At 34.4% G+C, this 20,092-nt stretch overlaps 1 pseudogene, besides 1 other annotated feature; it reads left to right on the forward strand.

Annotated features, from left to right (window-relative positions):
- LOC100418701 (talin 2 pseudogene) lies at positions 721 to 1,065 on the forward strand (annotated as a pseudogene).
- Positions 15,428 to 15,974: an enhancer, noted in NCBI's record as "OCT4-NANOG hESC enhancer chr4:97148613-97149159 (GRCh37/hg19 assembly coordinates)". NCBI's record gives its function as "activates a minimal SCP1, AML or CMV promoter by ChIP-STARR-seq in primed H9 embryonic stem cells {active_cell/tissue: H9 hESC(primed)}" and the evidence as "EXISTENCE:reporter gene assay evidence [ECO:0000049][PMID:30033119]".

The raw sequence follows: 20,092 nt of genomic DNA on the forward strand, positions 1-20,092 counted from the left end.
ACATAGGAGAAAAGCCTGTGGAGACTGTGAAAGAGGGGTCACAGAGTGATGGAAAGGACCCCACTGGAATGGTCAGTGTTGTCCAGTTTCCCTGCAGTCAGATAAGGACTGGACAGTGAACACTTGCTTTATCATCAGGGAAAACAAAAGTAACCCTGGCCAGAATAGATTCCAGTGGAATTCTGGGTAGAAGCCAGATGAGGAATAAGAAATTCTTAGTGAGAGCCTTCAAATCACCTAGAAAATGGTGGGCCTGTCCTTGAAGGTTTGCATCTGCCACTGCAACATGGTGAAAACCACGCAGTGTGAGCCAAATCAGTCTATGTAATGCATGTCAAGTCACTCAGGAGTGAGTCCCTAAGGCACACGCTGGCCAGGTTTCTCACTATGGGTTGTTTCTTTCTGAGGAAGACTCACTGGCATTTCTCAATGCCAGTGAGGAAAGGCATTTCACTGGAAGCTGGCAGAATATTAAATTACTATATGTTGCAAAATGGGGATGTTTTCATTTACATAAAGAGACAGAAACCTCAGAAAATCCTAATGCTGAACAGATCCATGAAAATAGTGACGGTAGACAACTCTAAGACCATTAGGGAACTCGTGTTTACCATTTGCAGCAGAATAGAAATAATAAACTGTAAAGATTACTCTTAATCCTATTACCTATTGAAGAAAAGAAAGAGGAAGGGTAAATACACCCAAAACAAAAACAAAAACCAAATAAACAGGACACTGTTATGATATGAGAAGGAAATGGAGAAGCTGAAGGCCAAACTTCACATAGAGGATGACCAAAATTAGCTGGATTACAGCTATACACTCAGAAAACAAGTGGTCGATGAAAATGAAACATTGCAGCTTAGATGGAAACTTCCTTACTCTGATCACTTTGTAGATTCCAGGGACCTTGTGCAGCTGCATTTGCTGTATATTCAGGCTCAGGGAGGACATCTGAATGGCTCCCACCCTTTAGCCTTTGAGAAAATTTGTGAGTTTGGTGGATTTCAAGCCCAGCTGTAACTTGGACCTCATTGGACATAAAAACAAACCTGGATTCTTAGAGTAAATGATCTTTTATTTTTCTTTCTCTTCCCCTCTCTTCTCCTCCCTTCTCTTATCCTTTCTTTTCTTTTTTCACCTGTTTATATTTGATCTAGTCATGCAAAATACGTATGCTAGCTTCAATCAGTTCTGAGAATCTTAGCTTTTATTCAGTTGACTATGTGACCAAATTTGTGGACCTGGGGGAAAGCAAGTTGCTAAGAAATTCAATGCAGGAATGACTGTAGTTTATTCATTCCAAGTTCAGGCAGTGTGTTATTTCCTTTATGCCAGGGAGCCTGTAGCACCCCTCCAAAATATGATCTAGCCTGTCCTAGAATACTTCTGGAGTTGAGAACCTCACTTTCTTCAACCTCTGAAAACCAATGCCCATGAGAACATTCCTTCCTTATACCGAACCATATTTTGACTTCTTTAATTTCTTTTTATGACCCCTGTATAAGAACGAGTATAAATGAGAGAACTTCACATCCTTTATTAAAATCTTATAACTTTTTTACTGCATTAAAAGTGTGATGTATACGCTAAACACTTGGTTCCCTCAAAAAAAAGGACAGTACTCAAGATTGTAGATTTAATATAATTAGTAATTTAATAAACTTAATACTTTTTACTATTTTAACAACCTTAAGTGAAAGTGGAATTCTTTTCCCCATGAGTGCATGTCAGTAGAAAATACAATGGTTTAAACTAACATAGTTCAGTGCCATTCCCTTGATTTAAGCTAAGGAACCACCAGTTCTATCCTCTATTGCTTTTTGTCATTTGTGCAAATATCATCATGATGAAAAAGTCACACAACATCTTAGCACTATTATGAGAACAGCTTTGACCTTGCAAACACTTGAACATGTCTCAGAAATCCTCAAGAATCTGTGAACCACCCTTGGAGAATGATACCTATCGGAAAAGGGTATATGAAATAAACAGGGAAAATAACCACAGCTATTACATGGACATCCCCAAAGCAACTTGTTCCATCCCACCTTTTCTTAAAGATTAATCTACACTATCTTCTTAATTTACCTACCTCCTCTAGGTAAATATTTTTCTTGCACACTGAAATGATTTTATAATTTCTCAGAAATGGTCGTTTGATATTCAATATCAAATCTCTGATAAATACCTGTAATTTTTTATACAACTTCATATTTAGTTCACCCATATGTGTGCACACTCCTTTGTCTACTTTGACTGAAGATGCAGCTTTTGTGTTTGGCATAAGAACAGTCTGTACCTTCACTAAGAGGAAACCTAACTCTATCTTGATGTATGACAACTTAGTAATTTGTTTTTTGAAAGTTGCACTCAGCCAACACTTCATATATGGCACCAATTATTTAAGATGTGTTGAGTCAGATTTACTCAGTGTTTGTATAATAATTAAGCAGCTTCTGAAAATGGTGCTTATATTTTGAGTTACAATTTTAATATAACTTCCAAAGATAACTAATTTAGGGTTGACTACTGGGAGAATCTGACTCCATTTATTACTTAATTGGTGAAAGGCGGTTATGAGAAACACAATGGTGTGAGAATGAAGCAGTGGTGTCATAAGGAAACAATAAAAACTGTAATAGACAGGTAATTTACCTATGTTGGAATGAAATGACCAGTGAAAATTAGATCCGTGAGATTCCTTACTACCCCCAAAGGTCTGTGCATGGTAGAAAATCTCCAGAGAGTTCACAAACCCCATTTTTCCATATTATTTTCTTCCCTGTTTTGCTGTCATTTCTACGAAGCTTAAGCAAATCTTCTATTTCAGCAATTGTGACAGGCCACTCTGGCGGCAAACGCCAGAATTTTTTCCTATTTTATTTGATGTTAAAAAATAATTTATTGGAAACGTGTTTGCTAATATAGTAAAAGGTAAATCTGTTATGATACTTATAAGATGCATATTCTTTTGTCAGAATTCAATTGATTTAAAATTATATTTCTAATATATAACACAAGTTTAGAAACAATTTTATAAATAATCATCTGATCTGCATCTATTATTGAAACCTATTTTTGTATCATTCTACACTTATTTTTTTCAACAATAATTGCTAGAACACACATTTTTAAAAACGACTGACAAAACAAATAAGCTCTTGATGGAACAAGTTGTCATTTCAACTATTGACAGTATTTCATGATTCTGGCATTTTGAAGCATCCCACGATGATTAAGCTAGTCATTATCTTCATACTATAAATAAAGAAACAGAATGCAGTTTAATAGGCATTAATTGACTATTTTCCTTGCCAAAGATACAGTACCAAGAACCGAGAGAATATAACGTCTGGAACAAAAGAGCTCTGAATTCTGTTAGGGAGAGAATTGTATAAAGTGAATTTTAATGCCAGATAGTCCATGATAAATACTATAATATAGATTTAAGGATGTTTAATAGGAGGTCAGATGAATTATCTTTGACTGGAAAGAGCAGCTGACATCTTCATGTAAATGCTGCACCTTAAATAAAGATTGCATTTTGAACAAATTGATAATGGTGAGGTAAACATTCCAAGCAGAAGACAAATTCACATAGTCGCCGAAACCTGGTCAAAAGGGTCGTATTCTGAAAAGACACAGTAGTCTGGGATAGCAAGGCATGTGGTACAAAAAAGCATTGAAGAATGTTGGAAGAAAGGATTCAGAATAGTTATGAAGGCGGGGCATATTGAAGTGAATTCTGGAAATTGTCTCTGTTCCTCTGTGACTTTATGCTGGATTTTCAATTGCAGTTAAGTTATGCTCTCCCTATATATCCAAAAAAGATTCTGGAGGAAGGCTTAATTGGTCCATGTATATAATTTTTTTTTCCATTGGAAAAGAGTGGAGTAGCTAAAAGTGAGAATATGGCTGAGTATTTTTTGTTTGTTCAACAAATATTGATTATTTAATGTGAGCCAGACTCTGAGCTGAGTGCTAAGGATGCAATGGTGAAGAAACTAGAAATGATTCCTGTCCATGTGGAGCATGTATTTCATTTGGGGAAATAAACATTAAATAACCATGGAAATATTTAATTATAAATTGTGATAAATAATCTGAAGGAAAAAATAAGAATACGAGTTAAGGTGATTTCAGGTATTCCTGATTTATATTCTTACTATTTATGTTTATATTCAGGTTAGTATTTGCATTTCTCAATGGTGGGTATGAAAGTCTGGATTAAATTGTAATTTGTATATACAGTTTATCTCTCCTAATTGCAATGTGCTGTTCAGAAAAGATGATCAACTTTGAGGTATGTATTTTAGTTTAAATTCTAGCTCAGCTAATTATTATCTAAGTGCTTTTACCTGATCCTGTTTTTCTGTAGAGACAATAATTTCCACCTTCTAAGATTGTTGTAAGAATTAGAATGAGTATATGTAAAGGTCCACAGATGGAATCTCTCATATTAATTAATAATAAACACCATCACCACCATTATAGGCTTTCAGTGGACTTTCAAGATAATACAGGTTATCATGAGAAAAATATATACCTTAGATGGTGTCAGCTAAAATATTTACCAGCTAATAACAGATTGTTGACCACATTAGGGATTAAGGTGACACTTAATCAAACACCCTCTCTCCTACCACATCGCCACACCCTGCAGTTAAGAAGTGATAGATAAGTGAACAAAAGAGTGAGGTAAATGGAAAACTAAATATTAGCTGCATTTCTGTAAGTACTAGACTGGAGAACATGATTAGAATCTGTAGTCAAATTGGTTCCCAACTATTACCTCCTTCCCACTCCCTTCTTTCAGCCCTTGGGATGATTCTTCTGGGGGTATTTTGGGTCTACAAAGCATGCAATCACTACCCAGCTAGCAGTAAGGGTAATTATTCTACCTTATCTTTGAAGGTTGATAGGGGTCTAGTAAAAAATGTCTCCAAACGTGGGTCTTAGAAGTTAGCCTGGTCCGACACAGGTGTGCTCTTCCTGTATTCAGCAGGCAAACAGCAGAAGACACCCACCTGTCTAGGGGGAGTGCTTCTCTTAAAGGGAGACAGAATGTGGCAGAGACATTCATGTTCAGTTTCCTCTTCCAAGTCAGATTTGTTGCTATACCATGCATCTCCCCAGAAAATGAGCTTAGATGAATAGAGTTGTCCCAAAGATCCATCAAGTACAATATAAATAAAAGCAATCTAAAGCAGGGATAAACGGGATTACCTGGGCTGAAAAGTACACTGAAAGGTGAGTAAGAAGGAAGATACCAAGGACAGATTTTACCAACTTTATATTTCTGCCTAACACCACCCTTCACTGTGTTATTCTAAAATCAGTTTGCTTACCAGCTTTGGCATATGGCTTGTTTAGCTCCGATCTATACCAAAGGCTTTCTTCTCCTTATTAAGTGTATTCACACCACTTTCCACTCTACTTGTAAGGTTGGACTATTTGTAAAATCATCCCTAGTACTGCAAGAGATTTATTCCACTAATTTGAATAATTGTGAAAATAGCTTTCTTAGTACAAAAATTTCAGAAATAAATAAAACATAATTATGACAATTCTAGTCTTTGGTTTGTATTTTGATCTTTTGACATTCAAGCCTGGGAAAATAGCCCTTAATGAGGACAGAAGCTTTGTTTCTATTTTATTTGAATATTCACATATTCTAATTAATGAATATATTAGCCCTTATTTAGTTGGAGAAGGACAGGATGGGGCAAATTGAGAAGGGAGAGAGAGAAAGTGTGTATCTGTGTGTGTGTGTGTGTATGTGTGAAAAGAAGACTGATATTGAATAGATACCTTAGTTGTGGGAAACAAAATAAAATTATTGAATGATAAGTATTAGAAAAAAATCACCTTCAACTTTTTTGTTTTTTAAGATGAGGGATCTGTGACTCAGAACAAACAGTAGCACTGGATCCCAGACAACTTTGACCCCAACCTGGACTTCATCTACGTGATCACACAAATTTTGATCTGTCTGCCCCCAGCCTTGCCTAGTGTCCTGCCACAGTGCTGAGATTACCTCCCTTAGATGTCTCTCTTTAAATTAGGTCAATGAAATACCTTGTTGAAATCCAAGTGCTGAAATGCAAATAATGCTTCAGAATGATTTTTATCAAATTATGTATCTGTCATCTCTGAAGAATAAAGTTGGGAGAGAATAGGCGACAAGTATATTTCAATGGTGAGAGAGCAATGGAATGACTCAGGCAAGGGGTACTCTGGTTTTGTTCATAAATGGAAAGTATAAGAACCACTGAGCCATGAATGGTTATAAAGAACATGTTAAAACATTGAATACATAATTTTATACCTAATTTTATTACAAAAGCAGGTCTACTCAGACTTAGTTGTAGCATTTCATCTTTAGATACCAAACCATAATATCTCGATCCTATCATTTGCCATGTAAATCTTGCCTTTCCAACTAGTTTAGCAAGTGCATCTGGAGTAGAAACTGGTTTTCTACACCTGTAGCTGATATATATGTCAGATCACCAACTTGGGAGTACAATAATTATTTATACCTTTATTCCTTAAATCAGAGTTAAATTTGAATCCTATGATCTTGCCAAATTATAGAAATTTTAATTTTTTTGATTATTTTCTTATTTTATACTCACACCAAATTCAGGAGTCCACTGGTCTAGGAAATAGATGAAAGGGTCTCAAGATGTGGTCCTTTATAGGTACTTAAGTCTCTTCAAAGATTGTAAAACTTAAGGAAGAAAGGAAAGACCTATTGCCTTTAGTATCTCCTGAGTTCCATTTTATAATATAATCTCTGTGTTAAGGAAGTACCTACTTGAGCTATGAAGAAAACGTGTGGAGATCACATTCAAAGTCTTCACCTGTGTCATACACACTCCAAATCCTGCCTTTCTGTTACTTCTAACTTTAAAGGTTGCTTTGATGTTTTATTTAAACTTTACTTTATAAATATGATGGTGGTAAAAAATAACACAATACAACTTGCACTGTGGCATTCTAGAGTACAAAGCATGATGTAGCCGTTTGTTAAATGTATTTTAGATTTCTCAGTTCATAAAGAAGCTTGCCTGCACTTCTGACTAGGGCCCTTTTGCAATATCCAGGGAATTTTATCTAGCATCCTTGTAATTGAACTAACTTTTACCACATTACTGACAGTTTTAAACTCCTTTTCTACAAGATAGTAGTGTGTGTGTATGTGTGTGTGTGTGTTCATTCTACCTACAGTGTTTTTGACATATCAAGCAATAAAACAACACAATCCTTCACTGTGAACCTCTGGCCATTTTATATCAATGGCTAACTTTTGCTATACAGACATCAATTTCCTTCAAACCTCCCATCTCCCAAGAAACTAGCTGATTTAATTATGTTCTTCTGGTCTGTCCAGCCTTGGTGATCCCAACAACCAGTAACAGGAACTAAACATTAATAGGGTGAGTAGGATATAATCTGTAATAGGGTCTCTTTTCATTACCGAACATCTCTTATTCAACATTTATATTAATGCATAATTAAATAGCTGTCTCTTTAAAGCTTTTACTTATATCAAAGCTGTATCTCCAGAATACCTCATTTTCCCTATGTGTGTATGAGAGAGTCCCTACAGTATTCACTTTTAATGTAACTATTAAAAATGCAACACAGGAATTGAAAATGTGCCTAAATCGTTTGGTAACCTCTTTTGACATTTTCATTACATTTCCTCTTACTAGAATCAAAATGGGAACATGATTATTTCAGAAATGTAAGCCCTCCATGGCAGACTGTGCATTGTGACATGCAGTGTAGAATTTCATATTGTCAAATGTATAGTGTTACAAATAAAATATGGGCAACTTTGCGTTGTTCTTCCCTGTGGACCTTTCCTGAATGTATTTGGGAACAGGCCTCTCACAAGTGGCTGTGGGAGCTGAATACACTTTGTGGAGAATATTATAGAGAGGATTCAAATATGAAATGGGAGGCTATATTGATTATCATTAAGTTCCTTTTAAATTCAAATTCTATGATTTACCCATAGTAACAAAGGTAGGAGGTAGCATTTCAGAAGGATTTTTCCTCTTTGACCTGTCCTTCTAAAGTAGCTGCATAACTTACAGAATGAATGTGAAGGAGGGAGCTTCCAAAATGCTCTGGCTTTCCTATGAGGAATCAAACAATATTTTTCTCTCGGACAATTGTACTGGCCCAGAGTTCTAACATCAGTGGGCCAACAGCCAAATAGCGACTGTTTACAGAACTCTTATTTTAGGCCAGACACAGTGCTTTGTGTTTTATTTGCATTGTCTAATTGAAACCCCACAATAACCCTATGATTTTAATACTATTAGTAACTCTTTTGACAAAAGCAAAAGTCTTACTTAGCTCATTGTCTTGCTAATGCCAGGAGATAGTGTGGAAATAGTTGGGGGTGTGGGGAGAGTACAGTGCAAGCCAAAGAGCTTAGTTTTTGCTACAGCATCAATTTAGAGAAGAAGCAGCCTACACCCCTTTGCCTTGTGGGTAAGAACATGGGGCAGTTGGTTTGTATTCAGCCCATAAGGCAGTCATACTTCTCACGTATTAATTTATTTACTGATACTTATTCATGCCTTCTGAGTGCCAGACATTGTGCTGGTTGGTAGAGATATAATAACAAAAAGAATAAAACAAACATGGATTGTGCCAAATGAAGCATAAAAAGTAAAGGAAACACAAATCTATTCTAGATTAATGATGGTAGTTAGGTGCTAGGTGGGGGTAGTAGCTTTGGATAGCCTAGTCAGGGACCATATCATAATAATAATTATTACATTTACTTGTCAGGGGCTTCTCCAGGATCTTTTTTATTTTTTTTTTTAGCAAATAATTGATGTCTGAAACATGGTGCTTGACATTGTAGGGGAAATCTAATCCTCTTATGATGTGACTCTTGGGCCTTGCCCAAATCATCTGGCTGAGGCTCTTTCCTTGCTCAAACATCACAATTGCTTAGGGAGTGGCTGAGAGAATACCTTTAGCCCAGTGGGCTACTTCTCTTCTCCATGTGTCAGTTTTGTAATGGAGCTGTCAGCCAAGGTGATTTATCTTTGTATCATATGGTCCTTTAAGAATTTCTTTCTTGGATAATTGAATGTCACTCATCCAGGGACGCTCCTATTTCCTGCATTAGGATGTCAGGGGATGCATGGCAATCGTGAGCCGGATGGCCACACATGGCAATGCACCATACATTACAGGAGTGGCTGCATGGCTGATTCTGTTGCAGGGAGGAGTAGAGCAGCCAACCAACTGGAGATCCCAGAGGACTGCTGAATATGCAGAAAACTCTTGACACTTTACTTCACTAACTGTAAATGCAAAATGATAAAGGCAAATGCTGAGACATGCCCAAAAAGTTACTTTTACAGGATTCTTCTGCATTGACATGTCTTAGCTTCAATGACATGTAAAAAAATATATGTATATGGTTTTGAAATGAGGAAAAGAGACCCTGTAGTTGTGCTACACTGAAAGTGAACACTGTTTTGTTTGAGACACTTTGGTGTCTCCAGATATTTGAAGCACTCTCCTGAAATTCATTTTAGATGATGCATGTAAATGAATATTTTATATGAAAGAAAAGATCTGGGAAGAGAACGAGGTAACAGTGATAATCTCTGGACAGTAGAATTATGATAGTTTTTAATGTTCTTTTGGTTCATCTAGAGTTTCTAGTTTAAAAAATACGTAAGAGTTAATTTTGTAACATAAACAAAATTAGTTCACATTTTTAAAGATTTAGTACTTATTACCTGATAAACTGAGAAGAAACTATGTTATGTAATTAAAATAAATAACTGTCAAAAATTTCTAAATGTGCAGTCAGTATTCTAATGCATGGAATATGTGATATTAAGTCATGTTAATTAGTTACATTTTCACTTATCTTCAGACTACAAGCTCAATAAAATGCAATGCCACACTGCAAATAGCATAAACTGATTTTTAAAAACCATACATTAAGTAATGACTTTTTCCTCAATTTTGGCCTTTCCTTTTGTAAAATACCTCTGTTCATTAACATCCACAAGTTTTTTTTCATATAATTAATTGTATATGCAAGTTCTGGGGGCGTATATTCATTAACATCCTCCTGCTGTTCACATTTTATTAATGAAACAACCCATCACCCTCCTACCAGCAGACACTTAATTCCTTCCCAGAATCCATCTGCTTTTCATAAGCGTCCAAAGCCCAATTCCTTCACAAAATCAACTCTCAGAAAGCCTTAATTCCACGGGTCAAGATAGTTAGTTATTTCCTATTATCAGATGATCAGAAAGTGTGTTTTGGCTGTGATTATTACTCACATGATTGGGGGAAGGGTGATTAGGGAATCCAGGTACTCCTTGTAAAACTTACCATTTAAATTTTGTATATATAGACATTGGGGGAATTTGGCTGTTTTCATCTATCCATTTTGCTGCCTTTCTTTTCTCTTTCTCTCTCTCTCTTTCTCCCTTCCCCTTCCTTCCTTTCTTTACTGTTCTTTTTCTGTACTTGTGCTTAATAATAAATACAGTAAAAGTTATTACCTTATTTATACGTCACTTGTGTCAACATTAGCTAGCTTTTGTGTATCAAACTATCCAAGGACTCTTCAAGGGAGGACCATTTATAGAAGTTAAATTAAATGGAGGATGTTAGTTTTGATTATGTCATAGCAATTTTGAGAATCTGGAATTCTGATAAAATATAAACCTTTATCCAGATGAAGTTCAAATGGATTTTAGACTTTTAAAGTCTTCTGTGTTATGCAACATATATATTTGTATGCCAGCATTTTCTACATGTGTTAATAACTCAGGATTTTAAAAAGAAAACAGTTTAGCTTCTACCCCTTCATTGATTTTCTCGCTGTTTCATGTGTGACACATTACATTTAATACCTAGCATATTAAGGCTCATGTATTAACCTAGCTTATTCCTGAAACACTCTTCTTCTCTCCAGAGTAACTGGTTTGGTTATTTCATCTAGTTTCATGACTTTAGATATTAACTACACTGATGATCCCAAACTTATATATCTCGGCATGGATCACTTCCCGGAACTCCAGACTCATGTATCCAATTGCCTACTTGACTTCTCAAGCAGGCATCACATTTAACATGTTCAAAGCTGCCTCCATCCATAATCTGCTTCTATTGCAGTTTTGCCGTTTCAAATAATGGCAGCTTTATTCTTCTGTTTATTCAGGCCAATATCCTTGGTTTCATCCTGGTTTTCTCTCTATTTTTATACCCCACACTAATCAACCACCAATCTGTTGGCCAGACTCAAAATACATCAGAATCTGACCCCTTCCATTACCTTCAACATTTTCACCTGATCCAAGGAATATTCTCTCATCATTATTACAAATTCTTCATACGGAATTTCCAGGATTTAGTCCTGCTTTCCTATAGTCCACAGCCTATTTTCAACACAGGAGACACAATATTCCTGTTACAATAAGACACAGCATGTCATTACTGCTCAGATCTTTCCACTGGTTCCTCATTTCTCTCAAAGTAAAAAAGCAATATTTTTATGTGACCTCTTGCCTTTTCAGACCTGATCTCCCTCTTCTCTTCCTTCATCTGCATTCTATGTCAGCCACATATGCTGGTTTTCAAACAATTCAGGACCTTGTCACTTCTCTATGTCTAGTCTACATTTCCTCCAATAACAATATGGCTTGCCCTCCCTCTTCTTACTTTCTGCACATCTTTATTCAAAGAAGAGACAGGCAGGATGGTATAATGGCTAAGAGCGTGGAGCCTAGAGCCAGGCTGAGTTCAGGGGATGCTTCAGCTCCCTTCCAGCTTTGTGGATCTTGGGCAAATTGTTAACCTTTCTGTTTTTCTGTTGCATTTTCTGTAAGATACAGCTAATAATAATACCTTCTTCATAGAGTTGTCATGAGGATAAAATGAGTTAATATTGGAAAAGGAATTGGAATGGTGACTGGCAGATAGTATTATACAAGTGTTTGGGGTTAACAAAATAAAAAATGTTACCTTCTTAATGATACCTTGTCTGACCCTCTATTGAAAATTTCATACCACCTCTAAACGCAGCACTCTTTGTCTTCTCTTTTCTGCTGTTTTCTTCCTCTTTATGACTTAACTTCCAATAATGTATGTATTTTCTTTTTCATTGCTTGCCATTCTTAATAGACTTTAAGATTTATGAAAGCAGTGAATTTTTGTTGTTGATTAACTAAACAAGTGACTAAAATATACTAGGTGCTTAATAGCTGTTTGTTGGGAAAGATGAATTAGTGAGTTAATGCTATATATAAATGAAACGTGAAAATCAAAGACTTTGGGTGCATGAAGCTTGTATATCATCTTACACTTTGGAATCTGAGAGTCGTTTAGGATACACCATGTTGTAATTTGAAATATATCCCATTACATTGTTTGGATTTTTATCTACAAGAACAGGGTCACTGACTCTCTCTCTAGAGTGACATTTTGGGTGATGTCACCTTAACCATGAAACTCTGCTGGAGATAAATTGCGAATATAACTTGGAGGCAGAGAATTCAGATTAATACTATTTGGCTGCATTCTAAATGTCATTGTTTTTATTTCAAAAGGCCAGGAAATAACATTTAAAATATTTGTAGCAAACTATTCAGCATCAATGCATTCAGCAAAAAGGCAGAACCTGAAGGACTTCTGTTCCATTTTTACCACTTTAGAAATAGAAGCTTTATGGAGATAAAGTATCTCTTGGCACACAATAGGCATTTGTTTTAAATACCCTTTAGTAAATCTCTTAACTTTATGAAAGTACACTTTATCCAACAAGAGAAAGGAAGATCAACAGGATTCATAAGCATTGTAAGTGTAAAGATAAATAAATATATAGAAATAGAAATACAGAAAGCATAAGTCTAAATAAATAAATATATTCTGTTGCCTTTTCATGTCTCCCTGAAGAATGATTAATAATTACTGATTACTAGCCACTTAGGAATTATTAATAATTAATCACTCATAACAATTATTTTTATCAAAAACTCATCAAGATAGCATGCTTCATTAGAAACAATGAGAAGCTGATTTTTTTTCCCCCTAAATTTAATTCTTAACATTTTTGGTGACATTGGTAGTGGGGCTGGGCATAAGATACTTTAAATCATCTAATAAAGCAAACTCAGACTTGGCAGCATCTCTTTCAGAAAACTTATTCAATAAATACTTATATCTGATTTGTTTCAAATGATATTTCATGAAGATTATATTTCGGGTATTTATTTTACGAAAAAATTTTACAAGTAGAGGGATTAGGAATATTTGAGTACTTGGACCATAAGCATGATTGATAATTAATGTAAATCACAAGAGAGAAGGATGTTAATATCATTCCTATTTGATAAATAAACATTAAGTTAATATCATGGGGTTTTTAGTTATGTACATTTAAAAAATTCTGGACAGAAATTTATAGTTAAAGAGTTAATACTTCAAGAGAATGAAAGGACAAGACTATAGAAAATGTTTGCAAATGCATATCTGATAAAGGGCTTATATCCAGAATATGTAAAGAACTTTTAAATTCAATAATAAAACAACCAACAACCCCCTAAAAATGGCAATAGATTTACATGGATATTTCATTAAAGAAGATACACAGATGGCAAATAAGCCTATGAAAAAAATTCTCAATATCATTAGTCATTAAGGAAATGTCAACTGAAATCATAATTTGATGCTGCCTCATACATATTAGAATGTCTAAAATTAAAATGGCCATATCAAGTGTTATAAGGATTTGAGTCAAATGAAATGCTCACAAACTGTTGGGTGAGTATGTAAAATATTATACCACTTTGGAAAACATTTTTGCAATTTCTTAAAAAGTTAAATATCCTCTTTCCACATGCTCAGTTATTTCACTAAGTATTTACCGAAGAGAAATAATACCATATTTTCATGAAAAAAAATTGTATGTGAGTGTTTACAGCAGCTTTATTTGTAATAGACAAAAGCTAAAAACAATTCAAATGTTCACCTAGAAATGTGTAATCAAATTGTGGTGTGTCTATGTATTGAATTGCTACTCAGAAATTAAAAGAATGAACTACTGATACCTCTAACAACATGGATGAATCTAGGATAGCTATGGTGAGTCAAAGAAGCCAAGCAACATGAAAGAGTACATACTGCATGATGCCCTTTATATAAAACTCTGTAAAATGGAAACTTATCTCTAGTGACAGAAAGCAAATGCATTGTTCCCTGGGGTTTGGGAGAGTGAGACTGCAATGAGGAGTTACAAAGAGACACAAGAAAACTTTTGGGTGGTGGCAAGTATGTTTGTTATCTTGATTGTATTAATAGCTCTACAGGTATATACAAATGTCAGAACACTTTAAATGTGTGCAGTTTTGCGTGTATTAATTACACTGCCATATAGATGTTTTAACAAAATCACTGAGAAAAGAGAAGTGAATGTTTCATTCATATGATCATCATGAATAAATCTATGTCTCAAAGAATACATACCACCAACTCTACAATTGCAACTGTAGGGGATAGACATGAGGCAGGTAGTTCAGACCCTGCTATGAAGGAGTTTGGTTCCAGAGATGAAGTGTCTAATTTGTTGCCTATTTCAAGGAGCCATGATGCCTACAGACCAGCACAGGCCATCCTAGTCCCAATGCTAATTCTCCCACTCCTAGCTCATTTTTATTTGTAAAAGTTTTAATTCTGTAAAAATGTTGAAAGTCCTGTATGATGAATATTTTACACCCACCGAAAATGTCAATACTTATGTGTTCAATAATTTGTACTTCAGTAAGGCTTAGCAATTTAATATACCCAGAAGAAAGAAAAAGATAGTTGGCTTATTTATAGCATTTTTTCGACTATATTCAGTTGTACAACTAAGATTATTATATTTGTACTGTAAAAATCAATATTGATATAATGTAGAAGTCAATTCATTTTACAAAATTTTGGTTCAGAGACTGGTTGATTAAAGAGATTCAAAATAGCTCTGAAGACATTCAATTGTTGGTTATAAAATATCCTTATGTAGTTAAAAAAAGTTATATTTACCCTATTAATTCTTCTATACGAGTATATTGTTCATCAAAAAAAACCTAGTCACTGTATTTACAAAGGTTTTTTTTTTTCCTTTTTTTTTTTTTGCAGTCTTAAGAACAAAGTATAGCAACAGAGGTTATTATAATCTTAACTGGCCTCACCTACTCCCGAAGGTACAATATTAAATGGAAAATATGCCAGACATTATAATGTGCAACTATGGTTTTAAAAAACAAGCAGAATATATCATATGTTGTAACTGTGTATGAGAAACAGTTGAGTTTAAGAGTCCTTATGTCTTTATTGAAGATTTGTTATTTATAAATTTAAACGAAGAAAAGAAGATAATTTTTGATAAGTAGAGGAAAGTAAAAATCATCAATACACATATCTATTCCAATAATGCACTGCTAACTTAAATTTGTTTAGTGTACACTAGCGCAAGAATATAAACTTTCTGGGTACCCGGGGGGTGTAGTCTTAGAGGACCCCAAAGCTTTTATGGGATTTACCTCTAGACATCTCACGAGGTCCTTGTGGTGAATATCAAAGAAGGATCCCCTCATGGTTCCGGCAGTTGGTAGGGAAGAATAGCTCTTTTGAATTACACTGAGCACACTCTCCATGACAAATCCTTGTGTTTCAGGGCAACGTACTTTGTTAGAGGATTATTCCAGGTGGGTCAAGGCATTTGTGCCACTCCAGATTGCTCTAGTCTTTCTCTCTTGCCTAGAAGATGAAGAAAAAAAAAGCTACCCAAGAGGAGAAAAATTTATGATTTTTTTAAAGACCAAAAAAGAATTATAATATTGTAAGATTATGTCTCAGCCTTTAAACACTTAGACATAATCTTACAATATTAGAATTCTATCATCCATGTATTACTATCACATCAACAAGTCTCAGGCATAATAGCAGTGGATCATAGCCGAAAGAGCTGCAAGAAACAAATTCTTCATAAGGAGTGATACTTGGGAAAACACACAGACTAGAGGGAAAGGAAAAATTAGAGGAAGACAAAGTCTCTGGCAACTAAAATTATAGTAAACATTAACCACAGCCCAATTCGTAGCCAGATTAACATAAATCTTCACAGTAAACATCTGTTTACTTCGTTTTTTATAGTCAATACATGTCCAGGTTTCAAAAAAACTATTACTAGGCATATTGAAAAACAAGATAACATAGACTGAGGAGATAATGCAATGCTCATAATAAGACTCTGATATGACACATGAGGGTGTTAGAAAATAGGGAATTTAAAACAATGATTGATATGTTAAAGGCTCTTAGTCCCTTCATGATGCTATGACAAAATACCTTAAGCTGGGTATCTTATAAACAACAGAAATTTATCTCTCACTGTTCTAGATGTTGAGAAGTCCAACATTAAGTCACTGCCAGATTTGGAGTCTGGTGAACCTCTTCCTGGTTCATAGACGGTGCCTCCAGGCTGCATTCTCACATGACGGAAGGAACAAAGCAACTCTCCAGAGCCTCTCTTAAAAGGACACTAATCCCGTTCATCAGGATTCTGCCCTCATGACCTAATAACCTCCCAAAGTCTCCACTTCCTGATACCATCACATTGGTGGTTAGGTGTAAACATAACTTTGGCAGCAGTGAGGGGGCGTGAGAGAGTAACAAACATTCAGACCATAGCAGGCTGTAATGGAAGAAGTAGACAACATGCAATAACAGATGGATATTGTAAGCAGAGAGACTGAAAGACTCAAGAGAAAATTCTAGAAATCAAAAACACCTCTAGAAATGGCTACTGCCTTTTGTGGTCTCATCAGCAGACAGGTCATATCTGAGGAACATATCACAGAGGTCAGGATAAGTCAGAAGAAATTTTGCAAACTAAAATGCAAAGAGAAAAATAATTAGAAATCAAATAGGAATATCTGACAACAGTAGTACAATTTTGAAATTGTCTCATACACATAAGTAGGAGATTAAAAGGATAGGAGATCAAAAGGAGAAGAAAGAGAAAACAGAGAAGAAAACATTGGATGTCATAATAGGTGAGAATTTTCCAAAAGTAATGACAGAAAGTCCAGGAAGTTCAGGATAAATACCAAAAAATTATACCTAAGCATATCATATTGAAACTGCAGAATACCAAAGATATGTAGAATATTTTGAAAGACCCCAGAGTAAAAGGGGAAAAAACACATTTCAAATGAATTATAATGTATGTGCTAAAAGAGGAGATAAAATAGAATAATATAAAATGCTCACATCAGGGAAGGGAGAAAAATGGGGGTGGGGAGAGGAAGCAAGAAACAAATGCAATGAATAGAAAAGAGTTTAAAACAAATGGTAGACTAATTAAACAATCCAACTGTATCAATAACTGCTTTAAATGTAAATTTTTTAAATTTTGAAAGAAACCAAAGTAAAAGGGAGAATAACTCACCTATATAGAAATAAAATAAGATTATAGAACACTTCTCATTAGAAATCATGGAAGCAAGAATAGTGGTGTGCAATGTTTCAAGTCTTTGAAAAAGAGAACAATACAAATACTAACCTAGAATTTCATATCCAGTGGGATTATCCTTCAAACGTGAAAGAGAAATAAAGACTTTTCAGACAAAAGCTGAAGGTATTTGTTGCCAGTAGATGTGCTCTGCAAGAAATGTTAAAAAAAAAAAAAAAAAAAAAAGTTGTTCAGCTGGACATGGTGGCTCATGCCTGTAATGTCAGCAATTTGGGAGGCTGAGGTGGGAGGATTACATGAAGCCAGGAGTTCAAGACCAGCCTGGGCAACATAGCAGGGCCCTGTCTCTGTAAAAACAGACAAAAAAATGTTAACCAAGGAAAGGAAAGTTATATAGGTCAGAAACTCAAATCTACTTAAATAATGGAAGAATGTTAAGTGTTTTCTTATTCTGAATTGATAACTGTTTGCTAAATATAATAGTAATAATTATGTGATTATAAATTATGAATAATTGAAATGAATGAAAGCAATGTCATAAGGAACAGGAAGATGGAATTGAGAATATTCAATTATAAAATATCTGCACTATCTGTGGAGTGCTATAGTATTATTTATAGGTGAATATGGTGAGTTAAAATGTATTAAAAACTTGAGGGCACCCACTAAAATTTTTTTAAAGGATGTATAATTGCTGTACTAAAAGTGGAGACAAAATGAAATAATATAAAATTATCAAAATCAGAGAAGGAAGAAAAATGGTGGCAGGTGGGAAGAAGCAAGAAACAAATGCAATAAATAGACAACAGTTAAAAATGGTAGATGGATAATTAATTATCCTAACTATATCAGTAGCCACTTTAAATGTGAGTCATCTAAACACACCAAATAAAAGAGACAGTGAGAGGAGAGTAAACTCACGCGCGTGCGTGCGCGCGCGCGCGCACACACACACACACACACAACAAAACAACCACCAAGACACAAGTAAAGGGATAGGAAAAGGTATACTGTGTGAAGACTAATCAAAAGAAAGCTGAAATAGCTTTATTAACTTCATACAATGATTTCAGAGCAAGTAAAATTATCAGAGATAAAGAGGGTCATTATATAATGATAAAAGGATCAATCCCTCAAGAAGGCATATTTTTCCTGTGTGTCCATCTATCAACAGAGTCTCAAAATGTATAAGGCAAAGATTGATAGAAATGAAGGCAGAAATAGATAAATCAACTATTATAGTTAAAAATTTCAACGTCTTTCAGTAATTTGTAGATCAAGCTAGCAGAAAATCAGTTAGGATATAGTTGACCTGAACAACACTGTCATTCTAGTTAATCTAATTATCATTTATAGATTACTCCATGTAACAAGAGCAGAATACCTATCCTTCTCAAGATCTCCTGGAATATTTACCAAGACAGATGATATTGTAGGCCATAAAGCAAGACTCAATAAGTTAAAAAATTAAAATAATACAGATTTCACCATAGAATGACATAGAATTCAATAACAGAAAGATTTTGGAAATTCACAAATATATGGAAATTAAATACACTTCTAAATAATACACTTCAAAAATTAAACAATAAACACAGAAAAAACAAAGCTAAAGAAAAATTTTAAATTTATTGAACTAAATGAAAATACAACTTATCAAAATTTATGTATGCACAGGGAAATTTATAGCATTACACACATTAGAAAATAGTGGAAGATCTAAAATCAATAACCTAAGTTTCTCATTTAGAAAACTAAAAAAAGAAATACATTTTAATTCTAAATTCTAAAAAATAAAATATATAATAAAATTTGGAGGAGAAGTAAATGAAATTGAAACCAGGAAAACTAAAGAGAAAGATCACCAAAACCAAAAGTTGGGTCTTTAAAGTTTTAATAAAATTGATAAACCTATAGCTAGGCTAATCAAGAAAAATAAAAAACACAAATTATCAATATCAAAAATTAAAAAGTGATCATGACTACTGATACCATCAACATTAAAATGATAAAAAAATACTACAAATAACTCTACGTTAACAAATTTTATAAACATTTTTAACTATTTCCTATCTTAAGTGAAATTTTTCGTTTTCTTGAAAAACACAAACTACCAAAAGTCACATACATAGAAATAGATAAAGTAAATGGGTCTTTGTTTCTTAAAAATTGAACCAATGATTAATAGGCTTCCAAAACAGAAAGCATCAGACTCCAATGGCTTCACTGGTGAATTCTTCCATGCAATTAAAGGGTGACGGATGAGGGGGAAATGATAGAATTCTCTACAATCTCTTCCAGAAAATATAAGCAGAGGTAATACTTCCTACCTTATTCTTTGAGTTTAGCATTAACCAAACCAAGATAAAGTCCATATAAAAAAAAAAGGAAAACCAAGATCTACTATCTCTAGTGAACATAAACACAAATGTTGCGACAAAATATTAGCAAATTAAATCCAATAGTGTATAGAGAATTATACTTTGCAATCCAGTGATATTTTTTCGGTTATTGTGAGGCTTTTTAAACCTTTGAAGCTCAATGAATGTAATCTATCAAATCCATGGG

This window comes from Homo sapiens, chromosome 4, assembly GCF_000001405.40.
Source record: "Homo sapiens chromosome 4, GRCh38.p14 Primary Assembly".
Taxonomy (NCBI): domain Eukaryota; kingdom Metazoa; phylum Chordata; class Mammalia; order Primates; family Hominidae; genus Homo; species Homo sapiens.